Source organism: Homo sapiens, chromosome 12, assembly GCF_000001405.40.
Source record: "Homo sapiens chromosome 12, GRCh38.p14 Primary Assembly".
NCBI lineage: Eukaryota > Metazoa > Chordata > Mammalia > Primates > Hominidae > Homo > Homo sapiens.
The window spans coordinates 90,253,212-90,264,351 of NC_000012.12; the positions used below are offsets into that span (position 1 = coordinate 90,253,212).

At 38.3% G+C, this 11,140-nt stretch overlaps 1 long non-coding RNA gene across 1 annotated transcript; it reads left to right on the forward strand.

Annotated features, from left to right (window-relative positions):
* The first annotated feature begins 613 nt into the window (after nucleotides 1-613).
* LOC105369892 (uncharacterized) lies at nucleotides 614-10,683 on the forward strand. The gene is made up of 3 exons (XR_945183.1): nucleotides 614-769; nucleotides 3,181-3,293; nucleotides 10,586-10,683. It is a non-coding gene; the product is annotated as an uncharacterized LOC105369892 (long non-coding RNA).
* Nucleotides 10,684-11,140: the final 457 nt, after the last annotated feature.

Genomic DNA, 11,140 nt, shown 5'->3' on the forward strand with positions numbered 1-11,140 from the left:
AGAAAAAAATATTTTTACCACTCCTTCAGTCATTTCCAAGATTTAGTTGCCACAGTCCTATCATCTTTTAGTAAACAGCAGCAAAATGTTTCATAGCTCTTTACTTCTCCTTTTTAGTCTGAATGCCTGGAAGCCAAGAAATTTGCATCTCGTTAGCTCGTCAACAAAGACTGAAGGCCACGCAGAGTTTGCACATTCTTCTTGAAATTAAATTTATTATACATTTTTCCTTGTAGAAAGGATTCAGTTGGATAGCAATTTTTAATATTAATTGCTTACAAATATAATAATGTAGGGGCTAGAAAATCCTTTATTCGTTGGTAACACGTAAATTGTTATCAATATATTATCTATTTACTTTCTCCGCTAGGAGGATTAGAGTGAAAATATTTATCTGGGTAATTTGAATGATGTAAGAAGGGGAAAAGTTTCCATCCTCAAGGTTGGGAATAGATGTCAACAATTCCAGATAGGCTTCCAAATCCAGATGACCTAGTTAATTTTATTTCAGGGCAATGAACAGATGGTGTGTGTTCTCAGTCTATCTGGCATTAACGTGCACTCTGTCACCATAAGACTTAACGGTGGCAGATGGCAGTTGCGTTAGCAAACATTCAGTTCTCTCTCTTTGATTCTTCCCTTAGGATTGAGGAAGGCCTGGCCGTGGCTCACAGCTGAGTCACACCTCTCCAGTAAAGCCTGAGGAGAGCATGTCAAACCACCGGAAGACCTCAGTCATGTGGGTTTTCCGGTTCACCCGTGGCAACAGGTACAGCTGGGGCCTGTTCAAAGGCTTGTGGTGGCTATTCTGGTCTCATTGCTAAATCCATCTGGGGTCCAGTGCCACCCCAAGGCCAAGTTAAGCATTTCTATGAGATGGGTGGAGTTTTCTCACCCTCTCGTGGAAAAGTGCCTGGATATATCAGAGCAGCCTTTCATGGCCTCTGTGGACTTTTCTGGATAGAAAAGCAGCCAGCCATATTTAGCAGAGTTTTTTTCCAGCAACATGAATCATTTAATTGTCTTGGTTGATCAATAGAGCATCAAGGCAACAATGTGAGAAAAAAAATGTTTTTCTTTTTAAAGAAGATTCTAGACTTTTCAGGAATCCAGACAAGAATATGTTACAGATGTACTCATGCACTTGCATCTCCATAAAGCGGTCCTTGGCATCCTAATTGCTGTGCACTTCAGATGAGACTAGTGCTTAATTAATGAACTAACTCTAAAATCAACATATAAGAGTCAGCTGGGACTGTGAAGATGCTGTCCTGGGAGATGTTGCAAGTTTCAGAGAATCTAAAAGATAATTTTCATCTTTTAGGAATTACAGAATAAGGGAAATAATGCAAGTGAAAAAATATGGATGGGGGATTTATTAAATCATTTGTCCCTGCTTTATGGGCATGTACTTTTCAATATGCAGGATTTTAAACTCTATACATTTTAAAATTCTCTTTCAATTTTGATGGTTCTTATTCTTGAACTAATCATAGATGTGCAAGGCCCAATAAAGAAAAATGTGATTGATAATTTAAATTGCACATGTTCCATAATGCAGATTTGCTAATCGCCAGAGCTGTGAAACATGCCAGAAAATATATTTTATAATTTATTTCTGGGTTAGCAATTGGAGATAACAAGCAATGTTGGGGGCTTATTACTTATTGCCATCTGAAATATATGCAAGTATAAAATTCCTTTGATCCTGGTCATGGATATTTCACCAGCTGGTATAAAATACTTAATAGTAAGCTGCAATCTCTTTCTGGATTCAAGCCCTGCTTTGCTGAAGAGAGATATAAAACCACTATAGCAGTTCAAATACCACTGGCCTATTGGTTACACTGCACAGGGAACATTATACCCTGCATATTCCCTTTCAGGAACTAACTTACAGCTTCTCTAACTAAATGTGTTGGCAATATATAGAGATAATTTAGAACATTGCAATGTCAATCTTTGAGTTAAAAATATTGGGGTACATTGGATGCATACTTTAAGGCAGGCACTTGTATGAGGTTTTAGATTCATAAATACACTGATTAGAATACAATACATTTTTAACAGTTTATTTATTTTATTTTTTAAATTTTTGTAGAGACAGGGTCTTACTTTGTTGTCCAGGCTGGTCTTGAATTCTTGTCCTCAAGTGATCCTCCTGCCTCAGCCTCCCAAAGTACTAGGATTACAGGCATGAGTCACCATACCTGGCCAAGGGCAGAATACATTTAAAGGAATGATAGAATACAGTCATCTGATCTGATGGATTTATTTCTAGTATTCTTAAATATCTTTCAAAATTTGACTAGTAAATTAACAAGTAGACCTGGATTGCTTTTATACACATTTGACTTGATATTGTCCTATTTCTGTAAGCAAGATTTTGATATAGGATCTCCCCTAAAAACCTGAATTTAAAGGAAAATGCCACTTTGATGATTTCCTAAACATGAGTACAGAACACACTGTAGTTCTAGTGATTTCTAAAGAAGACTATAAATTACATGAATTCTGATACCTTTAGAAATGCAAGCTCTTGTTTTGCTTTATTTTAATTTGCTTTTTAATTATTCATACAATTGCCTCAATACTCTCCTTTGATTTGCTGTAGAGGCCTCAGTTTATAGTAATCTCACAAGAATAGTGCCAAATGTATTTTTTCCTGTTGGCTTTGGAGGTGTTTTCGGGGTTTATAAATATTTTAAAATATATAACCATTGAATTTTAGAGCAGATATAGACTCTGAATTCATTCCAATGTGGGAAGTCTCAGAGAGTTTGGAAGTTAAACAAGGTCACAAAGATAGAATAAAGCTGTCATGAGAACCAACACCTTTAGTTGTCAACGAATGAAGCTATTTTTTCATGGTAATACAACTAAACATTAAGATGAAGTGTCTATAGGATTCCAGTGAATAAAAACCAACAGGAGGAGGCTAAGACTTAGTTACTTAGCTCAAGTGGTTGCTTGTAAGAAAAAAAAAAATCACAAAATTTTTTATAGCAGGATAGCAGGATAAAATCCAGTGGCAAGAAATGTCTACTGCTGGAGTCATAAAGTCTTTCATCAAAAAACTCTATTATAAAATAAATGCTCATACTTTAAGCCATTATTTACCTTATGTAATATATCAAATTTATCTTATATAATATATCAAATATATCTTCTATCATTTAGTAATTATTTTCCACACGAAAGGCAAAGATTCTTGTGTGGATCCCAGAAGGCATCATAGAGGTATCTCTGTCTCAGGCAGGAGTCCTACTTCTTGAAAGACAGGCTACCAAAAGGTAAACTTTACAAACTTCACAGCTTTCCCCAACTCCTAATAGAAGTGAGTAGATGAGTAAAATAAGGTTCTTATGAAGTACATAAAATAATATCTCAAGTACTCTGCTGAATGCTTCTTAAATATTATTTGATTCTTGTGTAACAACACCCTGAAGTAGGAACTGTTACCACTCCTATATTATAAATGGGATAACAGAGGTTTAGAGAGTTAGGGCCTTTTCCTAAGATCACATGACTGATTTACAAAGCTGAAGTTCGAATCCATGTCCATCTGAATCCAAAGATTCTGTTTTTATAACCATCAGCTCTATAATGGCTAGGTTTTGCAGGCAAAAAACACAGGATACTGAAAGGCATGTCATGTAAAGACCTGTTGAGCTTCAGAAGGTCAAGATATTTGGGTTGAGTCCTGCTGAAATGGACTCTCAAGAGCTGATTGTTAAATATTCAGGAATTTTGCAAGTTAGCTGTTAAATTGTTGATAGCTTGAAATGAGCTATCGTGGAAGTATTTACACCACCGAAATTGGCTACAGCTACAAAACAGGGTTTTGTTTCCACAGAGTTGGTTTTCCAGCACAACACTAGGTACTGGAATACTGGAGTTACAAGACAAAATGTATGAAGGAAAAAAAACAATAGAGGAATCTAGAAATGTACATTAAGGTCAGTTTATAAAGGGCCCAGGTAAATGTGGTTACAAAGTTTTTGGAATGCAAATCCAATTATGGCACCCTTCAATCTATAACCCTCCAGTGGCTCCCAAATGAAATAAAGTCTAAGCTTCATTTCCTTACATGAGAAGCCCAGAGAGAATGTGGCCTATGCTTTCCTCTTCAATGTCATTTTGTAATTCTAACCCTCTCACCCTCCCATCAAGCTACAGCCATGCTGGTCACCAGGTCCCTAACAAGCCAAGCTCTTTCCAACTTTAGTCCTTTACATTAGTTTTTCCCTTTGCCTACTATGTTATTCTAGTTTTTGCATAGTTGTGTCCTTTAGATCTCAGCTTAAATATCACCTCCAGAGAAAGGCTTTTCTTGATCTACAAATCTAAAGTAGCTGTCTGGTAAGTCCCTCTCTTTTATATCAGTCCATTTTAACACTCTGCTTGATACTTAATGATGTGGCACGGGGGTTAAATGCCTTGCTTCTGAAGCCAGACTGCTGGGACCCATTATTACTCCACCACGGAGTAGTTGTATGACTTTATCAAAGTTGCTTGTCTCCACTATTCAATTTCCTATTTGTAAATAGGATGTAATTAATTATCTTTCATGAGGTTTCTGCGGGAATTCATATGTGTAAAAGAACACAAACCACATAAGAGAGAGAATGGTGACTGGCTCATTACAGCATTAGAAATATATTAGATATTATTGTCCCTGATATCTGATATTTATTGATTTATTATCCAGTTTTCTCAACTAGAATATATGTTCAATAGAAGCAGGCACCTCATCTTTTCTGATTGCTTTAGATTCTTCCTGCTGCTGATTCCTAGGGCAGTGCCTGGCACATGGCAGCAATGATGTCAGGGAGAGGAGGTATGAGAATGACCTGCTCATCCTTGGTTTCTTTTTGCCTTCCTGACCTCTCTCAGCTTTCTGTGTTGCTGCTCTGTGAGTCTAGAGCAATGGAAACAAGCATAGCTGCGTGCAGCAGTCCTTGCAGGGACGCAATGACAATGACAGCCTCTGCCCTCCTTGTTTAGGAAGCACAAAACTTGTCCTCAGCCCATGATGGCTATTCAGGAATGTGGGTACAATGCTTTCAGATCTGTCTTTTATAAAGAAAAGCCATAAATGTAAACATTTTCTGTATAAAATCACCCAAGTTGCAAATGCTTACAACCAGTTCAAAATTTTAAAAAAGACCTATGACCTATGACCAAACAAATCATGTTTACAGGCTGGACTTGGCCTGGGGTTCACCTGTCTACAATCTGTGCTCTTTACAACCTGTGATCTTGAACTTGAGCTCTTGGTTTTTTCTCTTTTTTTTGAGACAGGATCTCACTTTGTTGTCCAGCCAGAGTGAAGTGGCATGAACACGACTCACTGCAGCCTCAACCTTCCAGGTTCATGTGATCCTCCAGCCTCAGCCCCGCCAAGTAGCTGGGACTACAGGCACATGCCATCACAGCAGCTAATTTTTGTATGTTTTGGTATAGACAGGGTTTCACCATGTTGCCAAGGCTGGTCTTGAACTCCTGAGGTCAAGAGATCCACACACCTTAGCTTCCCAAAGTGTTGGGATTACAGGTGTGAGCCACTGTGCCTGGCCTTGTTTTTCTTTATTTCCTTTTTTTTTTTTTTTTTTTTTTTTGTGACAGAGTCTCACTCTGTTGCCCAGGCTGGAGTGCAATGGCAGCATCTCGGCTCACTGCAACCTCTGCCACCCAGGTTCAAGTAATTCTCCTGCCTCAGCTTCCCGAGTAGCTGGGATTACAGGCATCCACCATCACACCCGGCTAATTTTTGTATTTTTTGTAGAGACAGGGTTTCACCATGTTGGCCAAGCTGGTCTTGAACTCCTGACGTCAGGTGATCTGCCCCAAAGTGCTGGGATTACAGGTGTGAGCCACCATGCCTGGCCCTGGCCTTGTTTTTCAATTTTGAGGTCAGTGTCCTCTGCTCATGGACACCTTTCAGACAAACTACCTGAGGACCACACTCTGCAGCTGCATGTTCCTGAATCTTGCCATTGCATTTTCCTGAGTATATTTGGTCTCTTTGACTCACTACACACACCCTCCCAAGATGGCACCCTTTACCCTGGATCTTGTTCCTGGGTTTAACAGATATTAGATGAGAGTTACCGTGGTTCACACCAAATTAGGTGGGGTATGTCAGAGAGTCGAGGATGAGGAAGGTGGATAGTTTGGGCTCTGGTTTAAAGGTTTATTATTGGAGAAAGATGTCATCTGAAGAAAGGGACTTCCATTTCCCATTTCTCCCTTCCTTCCTTTTTCCTTCCCTCTGCCCTATGGTAACCTTAGTCTAATCTCTGTCCTCAATCAGCAGGTTTGCTGACATTTAGAGGGCTGTTATGGCAGTCATGTCTTTCTGAGGCCTTGCCTTTTTAATGAACATTTGGCTGGGGAAAGGGGGCAATCTAGAACAGCTGTGTCCAAACTTTTTAGATTGCATGTCTTCTTACCAATAAAAAATTAAGCATTCTTCCCTATATGTATATTTACTTATTATTTGATATGCAATCTAGTGTTCCAGTGTATTATGCACATTTTCAAACACACGTAAAATATTGATTTAAAATAATGTGATGAAATATAAACATATTTGGGAGGCTGAGGCGGGAGGATCATGAAGTCAGGAGATTGAGATCATCCTGGCTAACATGGTGAAACCCCGTCTCTACTAAAAATAAAAAAAATTAGCCGGGCATGGTGGCGGGCGCCTGTAGTCCCAGCTACTTGGGAGGCTGAGGCAGGAGAATGGCGTGAACCTGGGAGGCGGAACTTGCAGTGAGCTCAGATCTCGCCACTGCACTCCAGCCTGGGCGACAGAGCAAGACTCCATCTCAAAATAAATAAATAAATAAATAAAAATTAAAAAATATAAACATAAGCTTCATTCTCTCTTTCCAGTCCGTGGGGAATTGTCAGGTACACTTCATGGGGTGGAGATACCCAGGTCTAGAGACACATCAGACTCTAGGGTGGATGCTTTACCAGATGGGCTGTGTGAGTGCCTGCCTTACCTGATTTTTTGGTCAATTTTGCACTGGAGTGCTGTCCAGGATGTAAGTGCCCTGACAAATATGCAAGCCTAGAGCCTCATCCTCAGGACGACTGCTGGGAATCTCTGCAGGGCCCTTGGGGTTGAACAGCTGCTTGCTGAGCCTTTGACCTGAGAACCAGAGACTTATGTGTCTCTTCACTCATATTTTCTTTCTTCATTGTTTAAGAGTTGTGCAGATCACCAAAAACATAATAAAAATAATGGGAGCTGTGTACAAGCCTCACTTGGGCAGAAAAGTTGGATATCAATCCCAAAATACAGATCTGCTTGCTGCATGGAATCTGAAGATTTAATGTGCTCATGTCCCATCTAACCACAGCACCCTTCTCAGGGTGATCTCACTCCTTATGGAAATAATGGAGTTGGATTGGTTTTTTTCAAGATTATTAGGGTGTGTTTATCATATTCTCTGGATTACTGAGTTTATAACCTCTGTTCCATGATGCCAGAAACAAAGTCAGAAGCTTCAGTGTGCAAGGCCTCATCATCCTCCCTAAACCTGGAGGGCAGATTTATTTTAACAGCTGTACATTACCTGATTGGAATAACGAGACTTGTGAAAAGGTCAAGGAGAAAGAGCTAAACAGCACATCTGTTCCAATCACAGAACCATATTTCTAGGAAGCTGGAAAAGCAAACATTCTAACATTCTATTTGTAGAAAATCCCAACAGTCATTTTAAGCATAATTTCACTGTGACTGTAAAAGAAAGTATTTGTCTTCTTCCTTCTTAATATTCCTTTTTCAAGAGATGGAGTTACATAGTGAAGTATTGCATCTGTCAGATGTTCTTTTGAACCCTGACAAAAAGTTTATGTGACTTTTTATTTTACCAAGCATTATTTTTTCTTCCACTAGTCCTATGTTTATCCTCAAAAACTTTATTGCAATCCTGGGCGTTCTGATTGAAAAGGAGTCACCAAGAATTCTGAATGTTTTCCTGGTGTGCTGTCACTCAAGATATCTTCTATAGTTCTTTTATCCACAACTCTTTTCAAATTAAATTTTATTAACTGAAATCATCCTCTTTCTAAAATAGGAAGGCATCCTGACTTGGACAAAGCTAAACTGTGCATTCCTTTTACTAAACTGTCAAGATTAATCCTTACTGTCCCTGCTGTTACAGTCTTAATTCTTCACTGACAACTGTGAGCACATGTGCTATGAGAAGAGACAGCTGGTTGAAGTGTCTCATTTTGACAAACATTATCTGTGGTTCAGTGTCAACCTGGGGAGATACAGCAAATGGCATTCCATTGAGATTGCTTCTTGGGCAGTGAACATTTTAACCAGTGACTTAGATCCTGGAGTAAAAAATATGCTTAGAATGTCTGTGATAGGGACTAAAGTTTGTAATGGGAGCAGATCTACTCCCTGACCTACTCTTCTCTACTTTAAAAACTCACTATGGCTTGGAGAAGTTATGGATGATTTTATATAAAGAAGTAGAAATCCCAGTAACAATTACATGTGCCACCTCTTTTGAATAAACTGTTATAAGGCAGGCAAAGACTTTCTACTGGGCTCTACCTTCATCCTAGACTGACTCCTTTATCTTTTCTTTGCTTCCATGAAGCTGAAGATTGTTTACTCTAATTCCTGTTTGCCACTGCCTGAGACCCAGCCTGGGTTTTCATCATCTCCACCGCTGTATTTTCTGGAAGAAAGAACCCTATTGGGGGTTGTTAAGGGTTTAGCTGCACACATACAAGGAAATAGATTTTTCTAAAATTCCAAATAATAAGGATGATGAAAATCTACAAAAACTTTTTAAAATAATACTAATAATAGGTTTTCTGGTCAAAAATACAAATAGAGGAAAGTCTAAGAATTCCTATCTTGATTCATTCACTTTGTTTCAGTCTAAAAGTGAGACATGCCAAATCCATTCAAATTCTGCTAAAACCAAGCTCTTCAGATTCTAAACTCGTAGATTCCCACTGGTCCAATGGGATTGCTTATGCTTTTCGGATTAGGCTTCCTGGTCTTCTCAGTGTATCTTCTATATTTTTCTCTCTGGATCTCAGGCTTATTACCAGTGTTCCAGAATTACTCATGGCTCTCTTGGGTCCTTTCCTTCCTCCTGGCAACTTGAAAGAGAATGACTATCAAAGAAGCCTCTTCTGATCCTCAAGTAATCCTGTACTGACATAAAAATTATCTATTTTTGCCCTTTGGAATTCCTACCTTCTCCTCTCTCATTATTTGGTTTGTCTGAATAGCAATGAGTCATGAAGGCTCACTCCTTCAGCATGTTCTGCTCTCAACTTGTGACCAAGGCTTAATTCTTTATTGGGCATGTGGCCTCAATAGAGTGCTCCCTCTAGACATTAACTTCTCTATGGTCTCACTAGTTTTCTGAAAGCACAATCTCACCTACTTTGTTTTTAAAAATCTTACCTTTCATAGGTTCAATCATTAATTTTTTTTTCTGAAATTGAGGAAAATCTCATATGTGCAGTAACTGCACTTTATGAAGTAATTGAAACACCCTCATTTCAAACTACTTTTTTTCTTTTCTTCCTTTTTTTTCAGACAAGATAACATTTTGATTTATTAAATGTAGACTGATTCAGAGACCTAATTTATTTTTAGCATTCGAAGATGCAAATTCCTTTTCTATTTGCAAATTATATTTTTTCATAGGATTTTTTTGTGAAACTATGGTTTTATTCCTACTTTTTTATTCCTACTTTTATTCCTCCATGGCACACATTTACCTATGTAACAAACCTGTACTTCCTGCATATGTACTCCTGAGCTTAAAAATTAAAAACAAACCTGTGTCTCCCCAGGTTGACACAGAACCACAGATAATGTTTGTCAAAATGGAACACTTCAACCAGCTGTCTCTTCTCATGGCTGTCTCTTCTCCTACTTTGTTTTCTAAAATTTTCATACGTAAGGAGGTAATTGAATCCTTACCACAAAAGAACAGCTCAGCTTCACGGTTCCCACCCCAACCATGGGCTCAACTGTGGCACAGAGCAAAGGGCTCCAGTGCTGTGCATCTCATTATGTCTGGAAATGTCTGCTTTACCTCCCAAATCTATCTTCCTTAATATCTAGTCTCCATCTTCTGTTTACACTTAATGTTTCCACTCTACTTTCTTTCCACAGTCTCATCTGGGACCTGGATATCAATCCCACTTTGTTCTTTGATCAAACGTTTGTTTCCCTCCCACCTTTCCACACTCAATCTCAGATGCTAGAATTGCAGCCCAGGCTCACATATTCCTAGGAAAAGGGGTCAGCAATAAGAGGTCAGACAAAAAAGTATGATTCTCATGTGTGTAGTAACAGAAATTGTTTTTGTCTGTGATTTTAGGAAATCTATCTTATTCGTTCATACTTTTTTTCCACGATTTTAATTATTTCTGTGCTCACTAGTTAGTGTACTTCTTAAGGATGTTGTAATCTATAAACGTATAACTGTTTTGATATTCCAATGGTGAGATATGAAAAGATGTAGAAGGGTCAAGCTACAAAATGCCCTGTAAAGAATAACTTTTTTTTTTTTTAATCCAGATAGGTCAGGGAGGCACAGCTGAAAAGAGAATCTTGGTTTTTACCTAAATCCTGTGACTTCATTTGTCTTAGCAGCTGCATTCTGAAGATTGTGAATTATCGAGGAGGTAATTCTCAGTATTATCTGAGCTGAGTTTTTCAAGGTAGTACTTCAACAGTAGAACTATAAATGTCTTATAGACACCTATAACACTGTCTAGTTTATTCAAACTTCTCCATAATTCCTATGAACAAAAGGGACACTTCCTATAAAATGTAGTTCAATATTTTTTACACATCCATTTCAATCAGTATAATTTTGCTGAATTGAATTATTTCTCTCTCATGTTCAGAGCTCACATGATTATGGCTGCCTATATTACCATAGGAGGAAAATAATACATTTAGATAATAAATAATAAGTAATTTCTCCAAATACATAATGACTTGTTCTCTCACCTTTCCTACCTCAAGTATTCCAAGTCCCCCTTTGAAAGAAAAATGAAAAACCAAAAACCAAGACTTGGCCCCTTTGTTATGTGCCACAGTTGGGCCCATGAGTAGGGTGGAAACCAT